Genomic DNA, 25950 nt, shown 5'->3' on the forward strand with positions numbered 1-25950 from the left:
AAGGAAAAGGCGAAATCAGGGAGAGGCCAGGTCAGGCAGGAAGTAGGACTTTGCAAACATTCTAGGGTGGTCAGATTTTGTTGCAATTTTATGGGGAAAGTATGACTTTCCTGTAGCTGCTGCAACAAGCTAGTACAAATATTATGACTTAAAATGCAGCCAGTGCATTACAGCTGAAGGACCGAAGCCCAAAGCCAGCCGCACTGGGCTGAAGCCAAGGTGCCTGTGGGCTGGTTCGTTCTGGAAGCTTCAGAGGGTCGGCTTCCTGCCTTTTCCAGCTTCCAGTGGCCGCCTACATTCCTTGGCTTATGGCACCCCCGTCCTTAAAGGCATCACTTCATTCTCTGGTTCCAGCATCACATCACCTTCCGGTGATCATATCGGGACCACCTGGATAATCTGGGTTATCTCCCCATCTCATGCACTTCATTACCTCAGCCCCATCCCTTTTGCCCTAAAAGGCAACAGTCACAGGTTCTTGGGCTTAGGACACAGACATCTTGGGGGTCCCTACTCAGCCTACCAAGAGGGCATTTCACAGATTTTGATTGGAGGGAGTGATGTGATACAGCTGTCATATTTGAGGCTTAGAAAGATCTGTCTGGCCACAGAGAGAGTAGGAGGAGTAAGGGTGGAGGCCTGCAGAGTGGTTGGGAAGCTGAGAAGTAATCTGTGCCGGTGATGGAAGGTACAGCAGAGGCAGTGGTGTGAGGATAGGAAAGAACACTCAGGAGCTGTAACCCACAGAACTTGGAGCCGGATAGATGTGGAATGGGTGAGGGAGGAAGTCTCGCAGGGCTCCGGGTCTCTGCCTTCATCAGCTGGGTCACTGGTGGTGTCACTGACTGAAGAGGGAGTTACCCCTGAGATAAGCAGGGAATCTTGGTGAGCAGTGAGGCCCCTGAGTCTGGGAAGGCAGCTGGCAGTAGCTATTTGATTGTGCCCAGCACATAGGCAGTGCTTGAATCTGTGATGGCACGAGATGACTCAGGGACTGTGTCTAGAATTCGAAGGAGTGTAGAAGCTGCTGGGGAACAATGACCTCTGCAGTTAGAGAGAAGAGAGGGTATGAAAGGAAGCTAGTGAGGCAGGGGAATGCCAGGCAGCAGTCACGGGCAGCCCGGCCAGAGCGGGGAGCTGACATATCCGCATTCAGACCAAGTCGTCCCTCAGCTAGGGAACGGCCGCCTCTTACTGAGGCCACCTGAAACCCTGAAAGGAAAAGGTGGAGAATGGTTTTGTGTTTTCGGTGTTAAGCTTGGGGGCCAGAGGCTCAGACTGGGAGCAGAGCTGTTTCTTGGACCCTCACTGTGTGCACACATGGGGTGCTGAACAAGGCCCCCTCCGTGGAACCCGGTGTGGCCAGCGGGACCCGCTGAGCTCTCAGGCTGGCTCTGGCAACAGCTGAAAAGCTCCATTATTTGCCTTTCTGGGTACATCTGCTGAAGAGGCTCAGCGTTTTGGGGCAGTGTGAACGTCTCCCTGCCACTGAGAACAATATTCGCCCTCTGCTGTCAACCCCTGCAGGGCCTCAGAGAAAGACGCTGCTGGAGGGTGGGAGGCCTGCCCACTGTTTCTTCCATGGGTATTGTTGCTTTTCCCTCTTGTGGCACCTCCTCCCCAGCCCAGGGTAGGCTGAAGGGGCAAGGACAACGCTGAACAGACGAGATGGGACCTAGCCCCCGGGAGCAGGGTAGGCCCTTTGGTAGGACTGGATGTCACGAGTGGGATGTGTTTCAGATGGAGCAACGGGCATGCTGAGATGGAAAAGCAGGAATGGGCATGAAGTGTACAGGGGCAGGGCTGGGGATGGCTCAGCTGAGGGGAGCCCTCCAGGGTCCCTAGCTGCCAGGACACTGCCCAGGAGAGGGGGCAGGAAGGGGCCCTCAGCCCTGTTCCTTCCCTTTGAGGCTTTGTGTTTGTGCGGCCCTCATTTTCCTGCACCCAATCTCATATGACCTTCTCAGAACCATGCACCTTGAAGTGAGTGAGGGTCAAAGAATGAAACAACTGCCCCAGTTACCAACAGTCAGGGATGAAGCCAGGGTGGAAACCAAGGTCTTCCATCCCTGGGGAGGGGAAGGGAACTCACTTTGGGGGTGCTCCTTATGTGCCAGGTATCTAATTTCTTACAAGGCTATGGTCAAGATGAGCCAGAGTAACCTGGAAGCAGCAGACGGTCACCCAGCGAGACATGGGGGTTGGCGGTGGTGGCAGAGAAGGGAAAGCAGGGAAGGCTTCCCAGGGGAGCTCGAAGCTGGCTGACTCTTGGCTAGGTGCAGGGTAGGGTGGGGCAGGTGTTCCAGGTCTCCTGCCTCCTCAGCTCTCCTAGATCTAAGTGCTGTCAGCCCAGGAACTGAGGTTTGCGGAGGAAGTGGCTGGTGCTAGGTAAGCCGTGGTGAACATCAGAGTGTGCTCAGGGGCTCCCTAGAAGCATATCTGCAGTCATGGGTGTCAGTGGGAGACGAGCTCCAACAGTCACTTCACTTTACCCATGAAAGCCTCTGGGGGGCATAAAGGGGCCCCGCCTGTGGGTTGCTGAGCTGGGGCACAGGTCAGCTCTCTCAACCCCACAATGGCCTGGATAAAGGATTTTTCTAAACCTCAGCTTCCTACACCTAGAGCTTTAAAATGCTCATTAATATACAAAGGCTTTCAAAGAGGCTGGGCGCAGTGGCTCACACCTGTAATCCCAGCACTTTGGGAGGCCGAGGTGGGCGGATCACCTGAGGTCAGAAGTTCGAGACTAGCCTGGCCAACATGGTGAAACCTTGTCTCTACTAAAAATACAAAAATTAGCCAGGCTTGGTGGTGGGCACCTGTGATCCCAGCTACTCGGGAGACTGAGGCAGGAGAATTGCTTGAACCCGGGAGGCAGAGGTTGCGGTAAGCCAAGATCGAGTCATTGTACTCCAGCCTGGGCGGCAAGAGCAAAACTCCGTCTCAAAAAAATATATATATATACATATATATATACACATATATACATACATATATATATGCATACACACACACACACACCTGCTTTCAGAAATTTTTAGGAAAAAAAATCTAACTTTATAGCATTTCCAAAATCATCTGATCACTCATCCCTTCATTTGTTGTCTTCCAAATCCTGTGGACACTATTTCAGGGGATGCTTCATGCCAGCAACCTGGGAAACTCAGGTCCACTCTCCCCTACACTGGAGACCTTTTGAACCCTCATTAATGAAAAATCAAGCACTTTTTCTTAACTCTTGCCAGTGGAGAAGGAAAAATGGAGAGACCTTATCTCCCTGGTTTTGAGGTTAATTCTTCCCCCCAAATAAAGATCCATGGAACAGGGTGGGTGTGGGAGCCTATCCAGCGTCATGATGATCTTGGCACATGCCTATCAGCTGTGAGCCTCAGGTGAGCACTCAGCCTAGCAGAACACCAGCTGTGCATCTGCAAAATGGAGCAACAGGGCCTCGCAGCACCGCAGCGCGGTTCAGGTCAGGGCAGGCAATCGGCCCAGCTGGGAATAAACTGTTAGCTCCTTCCTCTGCTGGAAATAGGCTTAGCCTTATAAAAATGAGTTAAAGCCTATTTCTAGCAGTTGGCCATGTTGATAAAGTGGATTAGCTCTTCCTCTGCTTGTTATCAAAACACAGGGCTCAAGCTTCAGGGAGCTGGCAGAGAGGGTGTGTGAGCGACATGGGCCCAGCATCAGGCGTGACCCTATCCTGATCCCTGTTGCAAAGCCTACCCTGACTCCAGAAGGCACCAGGAGCATGCGACTGACGGCAGATGAACGTTTGAAATTGAGGCTGTCTTGGGAAACCCAGCCCTGGTGGCTCCTGCAGCCCCAGGTACTTCTATCCAAAGCAGGGTCCCCCCAGGCCCCCTGCCCAGGCCCCTTTCCGGGACTTAGGTTCCTGCCATCCCCAGCCCTCCTCCGCACCTCCTCGTTTGAGCTGAATCACGCCAATTGTGTGTCCCGTCCCCGTGACCACTGGGTACAATCGCAAATCTTACTGCTGGCAAGTTCTTTTGTCTGACTTCTGCAAGTCTTTTAATGGGGTTTCTAAAGAAGTCACTGGAAAGGAGACTGTTTTCCTGCCAGATCCTCAGCAGAGGGAAGAATTTCCCTGTTGTTTCGGGATTATGGGTTGCAAGGGAGGCGATACAAAGGAGCAGAGGAGAAGAATGGGCCAGGACACAAACTCCGTATGTGTCAGCTGGGAGCAGCAGCACCTCACGGGGCCTTGGTGCACTTTGGGGGCTGAGGTCAGGTCTCGTGGTCACCTGCCTGTGTGGAGCCAGCCCTGAGCCCTGCCTGCAGCTGGCCCAGCACACACATGCCTGCACCATCCACATGCCTACCTGGGGCATGCATGCAGAGGCTTGGGGTGTTCGCCTGTGGAGCACACCTTTAGAGGCTGCAAGGCAGCAAGCCTCTGAGTCAGGCAGCCAAGGCAGGGCTGTGGGCACTCGTGCTCTTTTGCTGCCTTCCCCAGTCTCCAGGGGAATGGGCACACACAGGCTCTGGAGCCAAAGTGCCCGGATTCAAACCCTCCACTCCCTAGCTGGTGTGACTGGGAAAAGCCACTTGATCTGTCTGTGCTGTGTCTTCATTATCTGTCAAATGGCGATACAGTGCACACCTCATATGGTTGTCATAAGGCTGGCCTGTGGCAAAGGTTCAACAAATACTGTCATCAGCATTACTCCCATCTTATGAAGGAAGAAAATAGGCCGGGCACGGTGGCCACGCCTGTAATCCTAGCACTTTGGGAGGCCGAGGCGGGTGGATCACCTGAGATCAGGAGTTCGAGACCAGCCTGGCCAACGTGGTGAAACCTCTTCTCTACTAAAAATACAAAAATTAGCTGGGCATGGTGGCGGGCACCTGTAATCCTAGCTACTCGGGAGGCTGAGGCAGGAGAATCACTTGAACCTGGGAAGCAGGTTGCAGTGAGCCGAGACTGCGCCATTGCACTCCAGCCTGGGAGACAGGAGTGAAACTCCATCTCAAAAAAAAAAAAAAGGAAAAGAAAAGAAGACCCACTTTTTACTTAGCTAACTAATGACAGAACTAAGTAGGACATCTGTCTAATTCCAGTTAGTGGCTAGCGGCTTCTTTTTAGAATACCAAGCTGCCTTTCAGAAGCCAGATCGAGTGATCCTGGGGCTAGGTGGGTGATGAACACTTTGGAGGGGTGGGGTTTGGTGCAGGCCATACTGTCTTGGATTTCCAGGTACCCCTAAGTTCCCTGGTCCATCTGATTTCATCCAGGCCGCTTTGCAGGAAGTGACAGCTGTTTGGGGTTCCTTGGTGCCCCCTGCCGGATAGATTGCATCTAACGTTTTCCTGGGTTGATGAAAGCCCTGGGTGCTTTGAAACTGGCTGGCTCTCCAGATTCAGGAGGGATGTGGATGTTTTTGTCTGCCTCTGCCTTAGCCATCCTGGGCCCAGCAGCTCAATTCCTCAATTCAACCCTGGTTTTTCTTTCACTAATTAAAAGAAGTAGCTTTTAACTCTCCTTTTTACGAGCAGCTTACCAACTGTTCTGCCCCAGCGACTCACCCCACGCTGGGGGATCTCCCTATCAGCAAAAACGGAGGCTCAGTCCCTGCAGATGTTTGGTGGTTCTGTTGCATTCTGTTCTTTCTCCTTTTCAGTAGACAAACTACAAGGCGGCTGTACCAACAGTTTATCCTCTTGTTTCTTCCTCATGTGTTGGGAAAACAGGTCCCAGGAATCCTGGTGGAAGCACATTGGTGGGGAGCTGAGGAGCCTTCTGTTCCCAAGTCATTCTGCTGACATGGCCAGGCCCTCCTCAGGCCCACAAGGTGTGTGCTCAGCACGCCTCTGTCTGTGTGGCCTTGGAGGGATCATGTCTCTGCACCTTTTCTTTCTTACATGACAAATAAACAAAGTCTGCTCAAAATTCCTTAAAGGGTACTCTGAGGACTCAGCTAGTGAGTGGGAATACGACTGCTTTCATAATTAAGTTAAACTTTTTAAGGAGATAATTATAGACTCACATGCAGTTCTAAGAAATAATACAGAGATCTATCATGTACCCTTTACTGTTCCCCCCACTGGTAGCATCTTGCAAAATTTAGCACAGTCTCACACCCAGAATCTTGACAGGGACAGCCACATGGAACATTGCCATCACCACAGCATTGGTCATGCCCTTCTTTCATAACCACTGCCACCTCCCCATCTTTCACCGCTGACAACCCACAGATCTGCGGTCCATTTCTATAATTTTTTCATTTCAAGAATAGTATAAAATGGATCCATATAGTATGTACCATTTTGGGTTTGAATTTCTTTGCTCAGCATTATTCTCTAGAGACTCATCCAAGTTGTGCATATGGCATGTAATTGCCATAAGCTTTGGTTGTTTTCCAGGTCTCCTACAAAGTTGGTTCTGGCAACTCTGGTTCGTTTTTTGATGTTTCTGTTGGAGTTCTCTAGTCTGCTATTTTGCTGACATCATTCCTCTGGAAGATGACTTTAAAATTAGAAAATATTCTGATTTTCCTTCTCCCTTGTTCCCTTTGTATTCTTTTTCTCTCATGAGCTCTATTTCTTCTGTCTTGTGGCTGTCCCTTAGGGCTTTTCCATCAGCCTTATTCTCTTGTTCCTCCACATACAAACTCTAGATTAGCGCATTGCTTGGCTTTATCTACAGATCGATGGCCCCACATCAGTCTCCAGCCCCGATATCACTCTTTTCCATCTGACCACCTCCTGGATACCTACTGTCTGAGTCAGTTTTCTGTTGCTATAACTGAATACCTGAGACTGGGTAATCTTTAAAAAGGTTTATTTTGGTTGATGGTTCTGGAGGCTGGGAAGTGCAAGATCAGACAGCCACGTCTGCTTGGCTTCAGATGAGAGCCCCTTTCTGCATCAACAGCTGGTGGAGAAGTGGAAGGGAAAGCAGGCAATTGTGAAAGTGTGGCCCCACTTTCTAACAACCAGCTCTCATGGCAACTAATTCAGTCCTGCAAGAACTCACTCACTCCCAGGAGAATTAACCTAGTCCCTCTAGAGCAGCATTAATCCCCCCGATGATCAAATCACCTCTTAGATTTCGCCACCTCCCAACACTGCCATGCTGGGGATCAAATTTCCAAGGCATGAATTCTGAGGGACACACTTAACCCATAGCTCCTACCAAGATATTCCGCAAGTGGATCAAACTCAGTCTCATTTCTCTCCCTCCCGGCTCCCACACTTGCTTCTGGGCAGCCTCCTAACATATTTTGTGGTCTCCAGTCATGCCCACTCTAGTTATGTCTCCATATGGAAGCCAGTCTTTAACACCAATCCAGCTTCCCTAGTGTGGCAGACAAGACCATTTAACTTCAGCCCATTCTTCTTTGGCTCTCTTTCTCTTTCTGTAACTCCCATCACGCCGCTTCACTGCGTGGCACATGCCTCCAGCCTTTCCCTAACATGTCACCTCTACCTGGAATGTCAGCTTTTTCTCCAGCCAGGAACCTTACCTTCTAGTTGGTTCAGCCGCTCATAGGGTAGGCTTTCCCCATGTCCTCACCCCGCAGGTGATTCCCTCCATGTGTCACCCTGGATTGCCATGGCTTGTTTGCTGTCTGTCTTGCTCTACAGCCTCCTGGGGGCACAGGCGGCCTAGGGTTTGGAGGGGCTGCATCACAGGACGCTGCCTGACAGGCAGTAGGAGCACCGCATGAATGCTGCCGAGTGGATGGAGGACTCAGGTCCTAGCTTATGGAAATGCCAGCACTTAGAGAACGCTTTCTGTGGGACTGACTGTGTGCTAGGTACTTTGTATGAGCATCTTTTTTTTGTTTGTTTCTTTGAGACAGAGTCTCTGTCACCCAGGCTGGAGTGCAGTGGCGCGATCTCGGCTCACTGCAAGCTCCGCCTCCTCGGTTCACGCCATTCTCCTGCCTCAGCCTCCTGAGTAGCTGGGACTACAGGGGCCCGCCAACATACTCGGCTAATTTTTTTGTATTTTTAGTAGAGACGGGGTTTCACCATGTTAGCCAGGATGGTCTCGATCTCCTGACCTTGTGATCCGCCCGCCTCGGCCTCCCAAAGTGCTGGTATTACAGGCTTGAGCCACCGCGCCCAGCCATGATCATCTTTTCAAAGAGATAGGTATTATTAGCTCCCACTCAAAGATGAGCAAACAAAATCTAAGAGAGTTAAAGTAACTTGCCCAGCTAACTAGAGGGGAAGGTGGGATGTGGACCCAGTTCTGGATGATCCCAAAGCCTGTGTGATCTTTCAGGGTTGTCCTTTCTCCTGAAGTAAAGGCTCAGCAGCTCTTACAAATATATGGATCTTATTTGTCGTTTTTAGATATGTGTGAATATATGCAGTCATGTGTGTCAGGGCAGAGAATTAGTATGTATTTGATAGAGTAAAATAAAAGGGTCTAGGTACAGTGATTCCTAACTTGGGGCTTTTAGTGCCAAAGTAAGATTATGAGGAAGCCCTCCATGGTGGCGATGGGGTCCTCAGAACACACAGGCTCCAACCCGCTCTCCGTGCATGCCCTCCAGCTCACAGGGAGCTGCGTAGAAGCGGTGCTCCCAGGGTAAGGGGGACGCAGGGGTTCTAGAATAGGCCCAGCTCAAATGAGTACATAGCTTAGAGAACCATGGGGCAGAAAGTGGAGAGGGGATGTGCTTTTTTAAAAAAAATCATTTATTTTAAGATTTATTATTTTAATTAACGAATAAATATGGTATATATTTAGTGTACACAACATGTTTTGAAATGTGCATGTGTTGTGGAAAGCCTAACTTGAGCTAATTCACACATGCATTGCTTCACATAGTTATCATGGGATGTGCTTTTCATTCACTTCTCCAGAGTGCCAGACTTCTAAGGCTTAGCGATCCCAAACAGGCATTGGCTTGCCCAGTCATGCCTCCTGGAGCCGTGCGTGGTGGTGCACATGCCTCTAGTTCCAGCTGCTTGGGGGGCTGAGGTGGAAGGATTGCTTGAACCCAGTAGGCCAAGGCTGCAGTGAGCTATGATGGCACCACTGCAATGCAGCCTGGGTGACAGACCGAGACTCTGTCTCAAAAGAATAAATATATAAATAATCATGCCACCTTCTCAGGGGTCCTTCTCTGTCTTGCATAAAATATGAGCCACCCCTATCCACCCCAACCAACCAAACCTTGGAACAACATATCTCCCTTATTCTTTTTTGTTTTCTCCACACCTTTCACCACTATCTGACATGTAATTATTTATCATTCATCACTTCTGTTAGAATGTCAGCGCCATGGGGTTGGGGATTTTGACTGTTTGCTTTAACCAGTGTATCACCAGTTCCTGAAACAGCACCAGGCACTGAATCTGTGTTGAATAAATTAAGGGGTGCTTTAGTCTTGTTTGAGCCTTGTACGGTATCCAGCCCTGTGCTTGGTACTATGGAAACGTTAGGAGGAGATGATGGCACTCCTCCTCTCAGGAAGTTAAATGGAGAGTTGGATTGTCAGAGACTCAGATTACCTTTACTTTCCTTAAAAGATAATAAAGGGTTGGCAAAAATTTAAGAGCGAAATCATAAATACTTTAGGGTTTGTAGGCAGTATAGGGTCTCTGTCATATATTCTTTATCTTTTTTTTACAACCCATTCAAAACACAAAAATCATTCTTAGCTCACAGGCTGTACAAAAATAGATCATGGGCTAGATTTGGTCCACGAATTGTAGTTTGCTGGCCTTTGAGATAGTAAATTATCCTGTCACTGTTTCATGGATGCTGTCAGAAGACATGAGATTCCTGGGTCAGAAACAAAGGATTTTATTACTCACAGGCCAGAAAGAGCATCCTATTTGTGACAGTTTCTGCCTTCTGTAGGACAGAGAGCCAGAGCCAGCACAGAGGGCCCAAGTGGATGCTGTGTGAGCAGTGGGTTTGTATCACAGCTGAGGACAGTCCCTTCCTTTATGGCAAGCCTGCTCTTTGTTCTGGAAGGAGACATTACCTCATCCCTCATAGTTGCTTGCTGCAAACACGACCCTGAGCAATGAGTAGGGATGGAACCAGGCTGTGTATTCTTGGCTTTCCCAGCACATATGTGCAGGGATACTCAGGGCCACGGTGATTGCCTCTCTCAACGTTGGCTTCATTCCTTTGCATTTTCAATCGAATTAAATGGAGTTCAGTGCATTCCAGGAAACACAGTTGGGACTAATGACACAAAGATAAATGAAATATGGTCCCCATCCTCCAGATATTGACGGGTTCTTTGCAGCTGTAATGTATTGTGTTCACAACAGAGGCATACACATTACTCTGGCAGTACAAAGAGGTGCCTGGCCATTTTTTGGGCATCATGGGGACACATAAGAGAGGAAGTAGTTTTTGGATTGGTCATTAATGGATGCCCAGGCAAGGCAACATGGGAGAGGAAAGGATGTCCAGGTAGAGGCTACGGCTCAGGCAGAGGCTCAGAGGCATGTTGGAGCACCACGGAAGAGCAAAGAAGCAGGCATGGCTGAGCACAGCACAGGTGGGAGGGGCCCATGGTAATGAGTCCAGGAGGGAGGGAGTGAGAGAAGAAGCTACATTTTCCAGGAACTGGTTGCTTAGGGACACTAACTTATCTTCATATTCTGTCAGGCAACTTATTGAGCAAATATTGTGTGCAGATCTTTTTAATTATGTATTAATTTGGAATTCTTCTGTATGGAAGATATGTCTCTTTTACAGGAGATTTTTTTCTTTACTTTAAAAATTGACAGATAAAAATCATATATATTTATGGTGTACAACATGATGTTTTGATATATGTATACATTGTGGAATGGCGAAATCAAGCCACCTAACATATGCATTACCTCTCATAACTTGCTTTTTTGATGAGAACTGTCAAAATCTACCCTTTTAGTAATTTTCAAGTATAATATATCATTATTAACTATAGTCACCATGGTATACAATAGATCTCTTGAACTTATTCCTCCTGTCTAACTGAAATTTTGTGTCTTTTGACCAACACTTTCCCAATGCCCACACCCCAGCCCCTGGTCACCATCGTTTCACTCCTTGTTTCTATGAGGTGAATTTTTTAACTTCCATATCTGAGTGTGATCATGTAGTATTTGTCTTGCCACATCTGCTTTATTTTACTTGCGTAATGGCCTCCAAGTTCATCCATGTTGTTGCAAATGACAGGATTTTCTTCTTTATTTTTTTATTTTTTTTATTTTTTTAAGACAAGGTCTCGCTCTGTCTCCCAGACTGGAGTGCAGTGGCACAACCTGAGCTCGCCGCAGCCTTGAACATCTAGGCTCAAGGGCTTCTCCTGCCTCAGCCTCCTGAGTAGCTGGGACTACAGATGACGTCCTTCCTTTTTAAGGCTGAATAATATTCCATGTGTGTATATACCACGTTTTCTCTCTTTGTTTGCCACTGATGGCCCTTCCTTGGGTCGAGTCCATGTCTTGGCATTGTGAACCACGCTCACACAGAGCTTGGAGGCTGTAAGCACGCGATGCCATTTACTCCTCTCAACAGCCTGTGCAGCCTCTCGGCAGGTGGGAAGCCTGAGACTTACTGATTTGCCCAGGGTCACAGCTGGCGGAGATCTGGGACTTGGGTCCAGGCGGGCTGATCCCATGGCCTGTGCTCTTCTGCACGACCCCCTGCTGCCTCAGAAGTGGAGGCTGAGGAAGGTGGTGTCATTACCGATGTTACCCAGCTGACTGATGGTGGAACAGGGATTTGTACCCATGTCCATCTGCCTGAAAAACCAGCTCTGCCTTCCCAGAGGATAGGGGTCCTCATATGCCCACAGCTTCAACATAATCAAAGTTGTTAACTAATAATAGAAGGAGTAGCTTGAATTGGAGATGTGGAAGGAGACCTGGGACAGGGATAGAAGTGTAGAGGAATTCCCAGCCCCTCTTTCCCATTTGTCTTAGCTGTCCTCAGCTCCTTCCACAAAAGGTAGGTTTTCGTTTTTGTTTGAAAAAGGGCTTCGGTCCGTCACAGAGGCTGCAGTGCAGTGGCAAGATCATAGCTCAGTGCAGCCTTGAGCTCCTGGACTCAAATGATCCTCCTGCCCCAGCCCCCTGATTAGTTGGGACTATAGGTGTGTGCCACTGCATCCAGCTAATTTTTAAATTTTTTGTGGAGACAAGGTTTCACTATGCTGCCCAGGCTGATCTTGAACTCCTGGGCTTAAGCAGTCATCCTGCCTCAACCTCCCAAAGTGCTGGGATTACAGGTGTGAGCACCCGGCCAAATTTTTTTTTTTTTTTTAAATAATGGAAGGCAACACAGCACAGGAGTCAAGAACATAGACTCATAATATGAGCAGCGTGGTTTGAATCCTAGCTTTACAGCTAAATAACAGTATGGTATTCAGCAAATTGCATATTTTCTGTAAATCTCTTTCCTTCTTTGAGAGATGGATTCTTGTGAAGATTAAATGAAACATTATTTTTGTTGTTGTTGTTGTTGTTGAGACAGAGTCTTGCTCTGTTGCCCAGGCTGGGGTACAGTGGCACCATCTCGGCTCACTACAACCTCTGCCTCCCGAGTTCAAATGATTCTCCTGTCTCTGCCGCCCAGTAGCTGGGACTACGTGCACCACCATGCCTGGCTAATTTTTGTATCTTTAGTAAAGATGGGTTTCACCATGTTGGTCAGGCTGTCTCAAACACCTGACCTTAGGTGATCCACTCCAAAGTGCTGGGATTACAGGCATGAGCCACCGCGCCCTGCAAATGAGACATTATTTGTAAAGCACTCAACGCAGAGCTTGAGACAAAGAACTATCTGGCAGGATGTTGAAATTGCCAAGGTTTAGGGTAAGATTAGTGTTGGGGGAGAGATGACAGTGAGTCAGAAACTAAAATCTTCAAGGGCTAAGGAGTGTGATCCAGGGCTCAGTACATAGCTGTAGTAAGAGCGGTTGTAGATGGCACAGTCCAAATATATGACATTCAAGGGCCAAGTGACTTGAGACCTTGGGCTTCTGCCCTTGCTGGTGGGAGTTCATCACTAAGAGACTACAGCTGTGCGTGAGCTGTTTCTGAGGCCATCCTCCGCAGACGTACAAGGTTTTGCTATAGTGAATGCTTCGGGAGATGTAAGGAGGGAGCGCTCACTGTGGCTCAGAAGTGCTGGAGGACCATCCTGGAGGGCGGCCCTTGCGTGGGCGAGATGGCGATCCAGAGCAGATGGTGATGCCACGTGCAGCCAGTGAGGACCACAGGCTGGTGTACTGGGCGGGGAGTGACTGGTCTGGTTGCAGCAGGTGTGTACGAGAACCACCTTGGCCAAAAGGGCGTGGTTGGAGGCCCACGCCAAGCTGGCTGGCAAAACAGGTACCCCCTCTCTAGTCTGGGTGGTTGACACAGAGCCTCAGGCAGCGCTTGGGGTAATCAAGAGGGGCTGGGGTGCAGCAGTCAAAACACCAGTGTGAACAGGACATTGAGAATGGCCGGACAGGAAGCGAGCCTGGGCACTGACAGCCTCAAGCAGGGATAGACCTGCAAAGAAATCCCCAAGCCCGCTTTCCCAATTGTCTTAGCTATTCTCAGCTCCTTTCACAAAAGGTAGGGGCTGTTTGTTTGTTCGTCTTTGAGAAAGGGTCTCAACAGGTCCTGGACAGAGAGGAAATCATTTAGGAAGCAACAGGTGTGGTTGCCCATGGCTAGGCTGGGCCCAGGAGGGCCTGTTCCTTCCTGTTTCCAGCCCTCAGGCCTTGTCTGAGTCAGCTTGGGCTGGCTGGGTGGGTGGCTTACACAGCAGACATCTATTTCCCCCAGGTCTAAAGGCTGGACGCCCGTGGTCAGGTTCCAGGGAGGGCTCCCTTCCAGGTTGCAGAAGGCCACCTTCTCACTGTGTCCCCACGTGGTGGGAGGGGTGAGTGAGCTTTCCGGTGGCTTTTTGCATAAAGGCACTAATCCCACTCATGAGGGCGACACCCTCATGACCTAACCACCTCCCAACAGTCTCCTCTCAATACCCTCACCTTGGAAGTTAGGATTTCAACATATGAACTTGGGGGAAGGACAGAGGCCTTCAGTCCTTTGCAAGCCTGAAGTCCAAACCCTGTTTCTGCTCACTGAGGTTACTGACTAAAGCAAAGTGCCACAAACTAGTGCGAACACAGACGCAGGGGACTTCACCCGTACCCTCTCTCGGAGATTTTTCTCATTTAAAAGAAGCAGAAAATGAAATGTCTGTGGGTGCAGGCAGGAGGGCCAGGGTGGGGGTCTCAGTTTGCACCCCGTCAAGCAGATCCTCCCCATCCACAATGGGCTGAGTCCCCCGAGGGACAGGGACATAGGGCTGGACATCTTGTCTAGGTTGTTTGCTTTTTTGTCATTTTAGCTCCTGTTTTTATTTTGATTTCTTTTCTGTCTGTTTAAAAAGACTTCTGGCTCCCCTTTCTGCCTGAGGTTTCATAGCTGACTGCCCCTCCTCACCTTTGGTGGTGATGCATCTCCTGTCCCCTTTCTACCTCTAACCCCTATGAGTTATTTTCCAGGATACCATTGAGAAATTGAGGGTTTTTCAAGGAGCGAGATGCCAGAACCTCTGTGCCCTCTCTGACGGTACTCGGATGTAGTGGGCAGACAGTGAGGATTTGTTGAACTGACTGGGTGGACCCACAGCATCTTCTCACACCAGACTTAAGAGGGTGGCCAGTGGGCATGGGGCCTCTCTGCCAGGCCGTTTTCCTGCTTCCCTGCTGAGACCGAGTGTGCTGGGTGAGCAGCCCCTTCCTGAATGATGGCAGGGCCCTGAGGTCCCTGGGGTGCCAGAGCTCCCTCTTCTGTGGAATGCCGGAGCAGTGTGCTCACCGTTCCCTGTGTGTATAAGCTCAGAATTTTTTTCAGAATAAAAAAGCACAACTCAAAAACAGATCGACTTCTCAGATGTCTCTTCTCTTCATCTTTCTTTTCCTTCCCTTCCCCACTAAAAATACTGTGTTCTGTTATTTACAACACTTTTCTAAATGTCTTGCATGGTGTTGACTTAGTAGCTGGGACCTGGGAAACCAGAGGCAGGAATGGAGTCGCCTGGACCTGGCCCAGTCACAGAGCCAGGGGCAGGGCCCACGCATGTCTGCAGGGGCAGTGGGTGGGACAGGCAGAGCTGCAGTGAATGATGGCACGTGGGTTGAGTGCCCTCTGATGCAGCCGTGGGCACACTGGTCTTCCAAGAGGCCTTAGGAAACCAGTGTCCTGCCTCCTGGTGTCTGCAGGCAGATGGCCTAGGCTGGAAACTGGGGTCTGTCACTATCTGTGTGACTGTGTGTGAATTCCTCAGCCTCCTGAGCTTCAGCCTCCTCATCTATAAAATATGGAATAATAGGTATCTTTTCAGGGTACTTGAGCATTAAATGAGTGAATTTATGTAAAGTTCATGGAATAATGAAGTGCTCCATTAATATTAACTATCGTCATCACCAACATCATCGTCAACATTATATATCCTCCTACTGATTTTATGCAAAGTTATTTTATGTTGTGATGGCAAGAAGTGTGTGGAAATTCCAAAAAGGGTGTAATGATTTCACCAAATAGTTTGGAAGGCTTTTGAAGGAGGCAGGAAATGAGCTGAGCCTGGAGATGTTATCAGTAACAGTATCTGAATAGGCAGGAGAGCATTCACAGAAACTCAATTTATACACACACACACGCATACACATGCACACACACGTGCACACATGCATGCACACAGACACACATAGGCACGTGCACACACACACACACACCCACACTATAGTTTAATGGTTAAAGAGTACAGACCCTGGAAGCAGATTATACTTGTTAGATGACTAGTTTTGCCATTTTCTAGCTATGTAACATTGTCGAAGCTGCTTAAATTCTCTATGTCTCAGTGTATTGTTTTGTAAGATGAAGATGATTATAATGCCTATCTCAGAGGACTGTAATTACAATAAAAAGCTCTCAACAGTGGTAGCTGGCATTATTAGCAGCAGCGCACCTGATATATGGTGGCTGGCATGATTTTTAATACTTTGAGGGCTAAAGGGCAAGTTGCAACACCTGTTCTGAGCGTTCATCCTCTGCTGGACGAAGTAAAACATTTAGAAAGCGATAACAAGTAACCATGATACAAAGCAATATATGGAACTGCCCCTGAGTGGCAGCAGAGTTAGAGAAATACTGTTGAAGGGCCAGGCCCTCATTATTTTGTTTCCAGGGCCAGCAGAATGTTGCTGGTGGCCCTTGAGGCCGGACCCTGCTGCCTCCTGGAATCATACGCCATAGAACAGTGATGATTACAAGCTGAGGACTCTTCAGGATCTGTGCTAACCAGGAAGAGGCTCGGCCTCTCTAGGCCCCTCCAGCTTCTTCATCAATAAATGAAGACAAAATCTGTTACCTTACAGGGCTATAGGAGAGAATGAAAAGAGGTACCATATTTGAAAGTACGTAGTTTGAAGGCATTCAAGTTTATGATGCCATTACTAATCTACTCCATACTTCCACCTTTCTCCCTGGTATACATCACTTCTGTTTAATGCATGTCAGCTCTCAAATACTGTTAGCCTTTCTACTGTCTCATCTCCCTTCACTGGAGTGGCTCTGAGTTTGGGCATATGTCAGATGTTTGAAGGCACTGTAATCATGTTTACTTGTGCATTACAGCCTGCTCTGAGGGACAGTCTTGTCCAACGTTAAGAGGAAAGTCAACAGGGTTGAATACAGGATTGCATAACCTATGGTGATATGAATTGAACAGGAAGCAAAGGACAAAAGAACTAACATGTTTTTAGCTTAGTATGTGCTGGGATTACAGGCGTGAGCCACCGCGCCCGGCCTACATAATAGCATTAATTCATTCAAGAGGAAAGAACCCTCGTGGCCCAATCACATCTTAAAGGTCTCATCGTAATACTGTTACAATGGCAACTAAGTTTCCCACACATGCTTTTTGTAGTGGAGGGGGGTGAGGGCATATTCAAACCATAGCACTCTCTTTTTTCTTATTCTTTTTTTTTTTTTTTTTTTTTTTTAGATGGAGTCTCCCTCTGTCGCCCAGTCTGGAATGCAGTTGTGCAATCTCGGCTCACTGCAACCTCTGCCTCCTGGGTTCAAGCGATTCTCCTGCCTCAGCCTCCCGAGCAGCTGGGACTACAGGCGCCCGCCACCATGCCTGGCTAATTTTTTTGTATTTTTAGTAGAGATGGGGTTTCACCATGTTGGCCAGGCTGGTCCAGAACTCCTGACCTAGTGATCCACCCATCTCGGCCTCCCAAAGTAATGGGACTACAGGTGTGAGCCACCATGCCCGGCCTTTTCTTCTTTTATTTTGTAATTTAATATACTCATAACTTCATGAGACATGTAGAGTTTAACAGAGTTACAAAGCAAATACCCACATAATCACACTGTGAATCAAGAGACTGTTCACACCCAGCACTCTAGAAGCCTCTGGAAACCCCTTCCCAGTCTGTTGTGATCACATGTTTAATTTTATCAAGGCTCTTCTTTCTGGACTGCTTGGTGTGCTCAGATATCTTTTAAATCTGTGACTGTGGGAAATTATATTCATTGGTTTTCTTGTATTTAATCAACTTTGCCTCCTTGGTGCTTACCCAATTTGGCCCTTATTTATTTTATTCTTACTATGTTGATGGATTTGATTTGATGATGCTTTGTTTTAGATTTCTGTATCTGATGAGATTAGTCTGTAATTTTTCTTTCTCATTGCTGTTTTTTTTTGCCAGGTTTTAAGATCAAGGAGGTATTAACCTTATAAAATGAATCAAGTGTTACTTTCTGAAAAAAAATTCTGAAAGATTTTTATAAGATTGGATGATTTGGCCGGGCATGGTGGCTCATGCCTGTAATCCCAGCACTTTGGGAGGCTGAGGTGGGCGGATCATGAGGTCAGGAGATCGAGACTATCCTGGCTAACATGGTGAAACCCCTTCTCTACTAAAAATACAAAAAAAATTAGCCAGGCATGGTGGCGGGCACCTGTAGTCCCAGCTACTTGGAAGGCTGAGTCAGGAGAATGGCGGGAACCCGGGAGGTGGAGCTTGCAGTGAGCCGAGATCGCGCCACTGCACTCCAGCCTGGGTGGCAGACCGAGACTCTGTCTCAAAAAAAAAAAAAAAGGTTGGATGATTTATCCCTTCAATATCTGGTAAAATTTGCTAACGAAGTTTCCTTTGGGGAAAAAAAATTAGTAATAATTCAATTCCTTTAATGGTTGTTGAAGTAGTCACAATTTCTATTTCTTCTTGAGTCACTTTTGGTAATTTTTTTTTTTGTAGATGGATATACAGTGTGTCCAGCAGCATTTGTTGAAAAGACTGTCCTTTCCCCAGTGATGACTGTGGCACCAACAAAGCAATCTATTTGTAGGCTCATGTGGATTAATTTCTGGTCTCTATTTGGCTCCATTAATCTAGTTAGTATCCTTACACCAATGTCACACTATCTTGATTACTGTCACTTTATAGTCTTAAAAGTCTTGAAATCAGGCAGTGTAGTTTCCCAATGTTGTTTTTCTTTTTAAAGGTTGTTTTAGCTAGTCTTAAGATATTTGCATTTCTATATAAATTTTAGAATCACATTAGAATTTCTACAAAAAGCCTGCTGGAGCTGGGCATGGTGGCATGTGTCTGTAGTCCCAGCTACTTGGGAGGCTGAGGCAGGAGGATGGTGTGAGCCCAGGAGGTCAAGGCTACAATGAGCCATGATCATGCCCTTGCACTCCAGCCTGGGTGATAGAACAAGACCCTGTCTCCAAAAAAAAAACAAAAAGGCTGCTGGAATTTTGATTATACCAAATCTGCAGATCAGATATGAGGAGAACTGGCACTTAACAATATTAAGCCTAGTTTTGTTAAATTATAATTTTGTGAGAATTTGTCCATGTCATCTAACTGCTCACATTAATTGACCTATTTTTATCATAAACCCTTTTATTAGTGTCTTTTAATGTCTGCAACATTCATCATGATACCGACTTTTTTTCATTCCTCTACTAGTTACGTATGTGTTTGCTTTTTCCTTGATCAATCTTTTGAGGTTTGTAAATTTATTCGTTAAGGAGTTCTTGGTTTCTGAAAACAACAACAAAATGACAAAAGTGTCCATTTTAGCAGTTTATTTCTCTGAATGAGCCTTTATAATCAGCAGTAGCTTTCCTCCAAGTGACAGTTCAGGAACCCAGGCCATTTCTGTGGTTGGCCCGGCTGTCCTCACCATGTGGTCTCCAGGACGGCGTCCTTTGCCTCCACTGTGCTGGGAAGGAGGATGGAGGACCACGCCGGCAGGGTTTCATGGGCTGGGGCCGAATGTCACTCTTGCTCACATTTCATAGACTAGACCTGAGTCCAGGGACATGGTCTGTCAGGGAGAGCTGGACCAGCATCATGCTGTGTGCCTGGAAATGGGAGGAGGCAGGTGTGTGCAGCTTCCCAGGGTCTTCTACCATAATTTTTATTCATCTTTTAAAAACCTATTGGCTTTGTTGATCCTCTCTGTTATATATTGAATTTCTTTTGTATTAATGTTGCTGTTAGCTTTGCCGTATTCCTTTTTACTTGGTTTGGCTTTATTTTCTATTTTTCTATCTTCTAACTTCTTTAAAAAAATGCTTAGCAGGCCAGGCGCAGTGGCTCACGCCTGTAATCCTAGCACTTTGGGAGGCCAAGGCGGGTGGATCACCTGAGATCAGTTCAAGACCAGCCTGGCCAATGTGGTGAAACCCCGTCTCTACTAAAATACAAAAATTAGCCGGGCATGATGGCAGGTGCCTGTAATCCCAGCTACTGGAGAGTCTGAGGCAGGAGAATCACCTGAACACCGGAGTTGGTGGTTGCAGTGAACCGAGATCACACCATTGCACTCCAGCCTGGCTGAGCGAGACTCTGTCCCAAAAAAAAAAAGTGCTTAACTTATTAATGCTGAGGCTTTCTAGTCTAGTATTTCAGGCTATAAATTGTTCCCCTAAGTAATGTTTCATCTGCATCCCACTAATTTTCGGTTGTGGTATTTTTAAAGTCATTTAGTTGAAACTATTACCTGTTTTCCACTGATCTTCCTTCTTCAGTCTATTGGTTATTGTAAAGTGTTCTTTTGTTTCCAGATACTTAGGGATGATCCTCTGCTACTGATTTCTAGCTTAACTGCATTGGATCAGACAACATATTCTGAATGATTTCAATCCTTTAAATTTGGTAAACATTACAATATTTTCCTCTACTTGTTTAGAAATTATATGTCTGTCGGCCAGGCGCAGTGGCTCACGCCTGTAATCCCAGCACTCTGGGAGGCTGAGGCAGGTGGATCACCTGAGGTCAGGAGCTCGAGAGCAGCCTGGCCAACATGGTGAAACCCCGTCTCTACTAAAAATACAAAAAAAAATTAGCCGGGCATGGTGGTAGGCATCTGTAATCCCAGCTACTCGGGAGGCTGAGGCTGGAGAAGTGCTTGAACCTGGGAGGCGGAGGTTGCAGTGAGCGGAGATCATGCCATTGCACTCCGGCCTGGGCAACAAGAACAAAACTCCATCTCAAAAAAAAAAAAAGAAAGAAAGAAATTATACGTCTGTCTCTATTTGTTAATATTGTCCGAGACTTACAATACACGTATTTAACTTACCAAATTATACAGTGAATAAACTCCTTTACCTTTCTCATGGGTAATATAATGATCTCAGAACATTTTAACCTCAGACTTTTACTGACTTCTGCAGTACTCTTGTCTTGTATTTCTCATCTGTGTTTTCTTTTTTAAATGGTCCTAGATGTTAATTGTTATTTTATATAGCCCATGTGCATATTTATTTAGTCACTTATTAACTGCTTCCCTTGCTATTCATTCTTTCTTCCGTCTAAGATTGCTCTCCTTCTGTCTGAAATTCATCCTTTAGATTTGCCTTAGTGAGAGGCTACTGTGGGTGAATTTTCTCAGCTTTTTGTTTCTTAAATGTACTTACAGGCTGGGCGTGGTGGCTCAAACCTGTAATCCCAGCACTTTGGGAGGCCAAGGCAGGTGAATCATGAGGTTGTGAGTTCGAGACCAGCCTGGCCAACATGGTGAAACCCCATCTCTACTAAAAATACAAAAAATTAGCTGGGTGTAGTGGCGGGCATCTGTAATCCCAGCTACTCGGGAGGCTGAGGCAGGAGAATCACTTGAACCTGGGAGGCGGAGGTTGCAGTGAGCCAAGATCGAGCCACTGCACGCCAGCCCAGGTGACAGAGTGAGACTCCGTCTCAAAAAAAAAAAAAAAAAAAAAGTACTTGCTATTGAACGGTATTTTCACTGCAAATATGCAATTCTGGTTTGGCTGCTACTTCCTTTTAGCGTATTGAGATTTCATTCTACTGTTTTCTGGCTCCTATTGATGCTCTTATCAGTCTAACTCTTTGTAAGTTAGACTGATAATAGCATTTTTTCCTCCTCTGGCTGAATTTAAGATACCTCCACACCCTTCTTTGGAGTTTTTTGGTTTCACTGGTTTGTTTAGGGGTGGATTTCCCACTTTCCTTATTCAGCTTGAGATTTGTTGGACTTAAAAATATATGAATGTCTTCTTTACAAAATTGTCAGCCATTAATTCTTCAGATACTGTGTCTTTGTCATCTTCTCTCCTTCTCCTTTGAGAACTCCAGTTTAAGCTGATATTAAACCATCTCACTTTATATCCTTCCTGTCTCTTCTCTTACACAATTTTCATCATTTTGCCTGGGCATGGTGGCTCACACCTGTAATCCCAGCACTTTGGGAAGCCAAGGCAGGTGGATCACTTGAGATCAGGAATTCAAGACCAGCCTGACCAACATGGTGAAACCATGTCTCTACTAAAAATACAAAAATTAACCAGGTGTGGTGGCGGGTGCCTGTAGTCCCAGGTACTTGGGAGGCTGAGGCAGGAGAATTGCTTGAAACCGGGAGGCTATGGTTGCAGTGAGCCAAGATCACGCAACTGCACTCCAGCCTGGGTGATAGAGCGAGACTCCGTTTAAAAAAAAAAAAAAAATTCCATCATTTTACCTCTCTGTGGTATATTTTGTAAATTTCTTTTAACCTATCTTATAATTCACTAAATTTCTCTTTGGCTGTGTCTGATTTGCCGTTAAAGCTATCTATTGAGTTTCTAAGCCTTTTATCGGAGTTTAAATTTTTAGGAATTTTAATTTTTAGGAGTTCTGTCTAGTTTCCTGTTCCCTATAGATACTTAAGCTTGTCTTTTGTTTTTTTAAACATAGTAAACATACTTGTTTTCGTTTGAGGCACTTTGCATTTATTATCTCCTTTAATCCTCAGGGCCATGCGGTATCATGTCTCTCGAAGAGATAAGAACACAGAGATGCTTGTCTGTGGGTCTCTTACTTCTTTTCTACCATCTTCCTTCAATTCAGCTTGAAGTAGAAGCTCTGAGAAACTGAGACCTCTGAGGCAGAGAGAGGCTTTGATCCTTGCTTAGAATCTATAGTGAGTGTATCTCTGCCTCACAGAGCCCTCTCCACAGCACACAATGTAGACAAGAGGCAGACTCATTGATTGTGGAACAGGAAGCTTTTATGGAACTAAGATTTAAGTCTCTGACTCACTGTGAGCTCCTCGAGGGCAGGGGCTGTCTCTGATACATCCCTGTGACTATAGTGACTAGGACAAGATTAAGCAGATATTTAGTGACTGCATGATTCACTGTTCTGGGTATACAGCTGGGGTGCAAATATACATGTATATTAATAATTAATAATTGGCTAAAATAGCAATACAATTAAACTCACTTGTGCTGTATTTGCCTGTTGAATGTTTACCAATATCTAGCTATGAACATTTAGATCACAGGTTGGCAAACTTCGGTGAAGGGCCAGATAATAAGTACCTTAGGCTCTGCTGACTGTGTGGCTATTCACAGCTACTCTACTCTGCCATTGTAGCCTGTCTTAGTCAGCTCAGCTGCCATAACAACTAAATACCACAAACTGGGTGGTGTAAATAACAGAAATTTATTTGCTCACAGTTCTGAAAGCTGGAAATCCAAGATCTGCCGGCAGGGCTGGTTTCTAGTGAGGGCCCTCTTCTTGGCTTGCAGACGGCCGCCTTCTGATTGCATCCTCACATGATGTTGCTTCTGTGCATGCACGTCCCTGGCGTCTCTTCTTACCAGGACACCAGTTCCATCAGATGAGGGCCTCATGCTTATGATCTCATACAACCTTCATTACCTCCTTAAAGGCTCTGTCTCCAAATGCAGTCACATTGGGTACTGGGGCTTTGACACAGGAGTTGGAGGAGGGGGTACAATTCAGTCCATCACAGAACCCAAAGCAGCCATCGATAATACACAGATGAAGGAGCATGGCTGTGTTCCAGTAAAACTTTGCTTACAGAAACAGGTGGCAACTGGATTTGGCTCATGGAATGCAGTTTGCCAACTGCTTATGTTTTTTCTTTTTCTCATTTTTAAAAAATTTTATAGAGACAGGGTTTTGCTGTGTTTCCTGGGTGCAAGTGCTCCTCCTACCTCAGCTGGGATTACAGGCATGAGCTGCCGCACCAGCCTTATGTTAATATCTAAAGAGAATTGATGTAAATGTGACAATGCTTATTTGAATACTGTCTCTTCAGAGCACTCAGCCTTGACCTAGTGGTCTTGAGGCTCAGTAGGAAGAGTGTTTGTGTCTTGCAGCTCTGACAGAGCACAAAGAGCACTTCTGCGACCAGATGTGGAGAGTTTCCCTCACACAAGCAGTTCTCCAGTAGACGTCGACTGGGTGTCCTGCAGTTTAACTCATTTCTGACCCAACCTACCTGTAGTTAGCATCACATCTTACAAGTTAAAGAGCCCATCCCACAAGACTGCCCCCACTTCAGACCCAATCACAAGCCCTAGATTGTGACCTGCGCTTCTTACCAACTGGTTATAAATCAGGGTCCCATGACCTCCCTTCCTGGGTTCAACAGTTTGCTAGGATGGCTGTGACTCAGGCCTCACCAAGCCTGCGCCTGAAGTGTAAAACAAAGGTCACTGACCACAGCCCTTTCTAGTTCATTTGCTTAAGACCCCTTGCCCAAGGGCACAGAGCCTACTGGCAGGCTGAGGACTACAGCCAGGGTGGAGCCCACAGCCAGGGTGGAGCCCATTCCAGAGCCAGGTTAGCCCTCCTGGCCCCCAGCAAACCACACACAGACCCCTGCTCACCCCTGCATGTCTGTCCCTGGGCCCCTCTCCTGGACTCCCAGCTCCTTCTCTTGGTGGCTATGCAGGGTCTGCTGCCATTCAGGGTGCAGCTTGGGGCACCCCTCCAGCAGCCACTCTCCCACGCCTGGGGTCCACAAGGGCTTCCCTGTCCCCACCTTCTGAATGTCTGTTTCCACACTCCCACCAGAGGAGGCTCTCCCTCAGAAAGGCGTTGGTTTACTTTCCTGTTTACGGGACAGTGGCATCCTAGGCAGTGGCTTGCAGGTTGAGGCCAGACCGCTGAGTGTGGCGTGCAAAGCCCCTGCACCTGGTTACTGCCTGCCTGTCAAGACTTAATCTCACCTTTCCTGGTCATTCCCAGGACACCGTCCACCTGTGGTTTCACGCTAGGTTTCTCTTGCGAGCACGTGCTTAATTAGCACCATGTATTCTGTCCACTGTACCTTCTCTTTCTGCTCATCTTCCCAAGTTCAGTTCCCCGCCTCCCTGTCTCTAGAGAGCCTCTCCTGCCTGCCCTGGCTCACCTGGGAGGGGAGTTCCCTGAAACTGTGTTACTCTCTGCCTCCTTGTCTGAGCCCCGTCCTGTGCTGCTGTCTCTGGGGCCTTTTTTCTCCATATCCTCATTACCTAGCACAGCACCTGGCACACAGTAGGTGTCCCATGAACAATGTTTGAATGAATCTTTGAATTATGGAGAATGAGTAAATGCCACCTGACTGTCAACTGCCTTGGCCTGTTTTCCAGTCCTTGATCCTGTGCCTGCCATGACTCTTTTCTGCTTTGTTGGGGCACGGTGCTGGGAGCCGAGCATGGCTGCAGGTGCCGGGATGCTGAGGTGGTCTGAGCTGCTCCGTGTGCCTCAGTCACGTGGCCGGGCAGGGTGGGAGGCAGGCAAGAAACTCTTCCCTACTTTGCCTTCAGGACAGTCCACAGAGCAAGAATGGAGTTGAACAAGGAGGAGAGCCTGAGCCTCTGTTTTGATCGATCAGATGTGGTCCCAGTCCCCTGCCCCTTGAATCAGCCCAGCCAGAAGGGGCCTAAGGAGGCTCTTGTCACTGCATATGCCCAGGGGCCCTCTCCAAACTTAGCAGGCGAGAAGAGCCACAAGGATTTCTAAGATGGCAGGCTGGTCTTGTGCCTGGGAAGAGACAAGACCTGGTGAGACCTAGATGGAGAGTGAATTTGGAGTTGAGATTGTCCTATTATGCGTCTAAGGAGCCTGCAGGCTGGCCTGCCCTTCCCCCAGGGTCTGAAGGAGATGGGCCAGCCGTCGCCCTGATGGGGTCGAGGCAGGCACCGGCACATCATCTGTGGGTACAGCTATCAGTGGGTACAGTTTCAGAATTTTGAACCTGAGTCTGTGGGTTTCACGTGGTGGACATAGCCCCAGTTTGCCATGGACATGATTGCTTTCTGTAGAAGCTGTTTATTGACCTTAACTAAGTTTTCACTGAACTAAACAGAAGCACAGAAGGAAGGGTGAAGATATTCTGGATGCGCTCACCCATGTTCATGGGCCTCACCACTGCCTGACCACAGCCACTGCCTGCTGTTCATAAATATATGGTCAGGAGGGGGATGTTCACTACTGACAGGGGCCCGGGAGAACCTTTGATTTGAGGTTTCGTCAAGAAGACAAGGACTGTTGAAGAGTTCAGAGCCCCTGGGTTGCTGACTAAATCCAGTAGTCGCTTTGGGCCCTTTCTCAGTAAACAAGCACGGAGACACCTGGACAGGAATCCTGCCAAATGGGAGCAGTGCAGGCGAGGGTGTGGTCCTGCCACGGAGGC

General features: G+C 47.5%; 1 protein-coding gene across 4 annotated transcripts in view, besides 1 other annotated feature; it reads left to right on the plus strand.

Annotated features, from left to right (window-relative positions):
• Positions 1-25950, plus strand: part of ARHGEF4 (Rho guanine nucleotide exchange factor 4) — a 210340-nt gene that overhangs the window by 31678 nt on the left and 152712 nt on the right. The gene's annotated exons all lie outside the window — the stretch shown is intronic.
• Positions 12895-13396: an enhancer, noted in NCBI's record as "H3K4me1 hESC enhancer chr2:131639059-131639560 (GRCh37/hg19 assembly coordinates)". NCBI's record gives its function as "activates a minimal SCP1, AML or CMV promoter by ChIP-STARR-seq in naive H9 embryonic stem cells {active_cell/tissue: H9 hESC(naive)}" and the evidence as "EXISTENCE:reporter gene assay evidence [ECO:0000049][PMID:30033119]".

Source organism: Homo sapiens, chromosome 2, assembly GCF_000001405.40.
Source record: "Homo sapiens chromosome 2, GRCh38.p14 Primary Assembly".
NCBI lineage: Eukaryota > Metazoa > Chordata > Mammalia > Primates > Hominidae > Homo > Homo sapiens.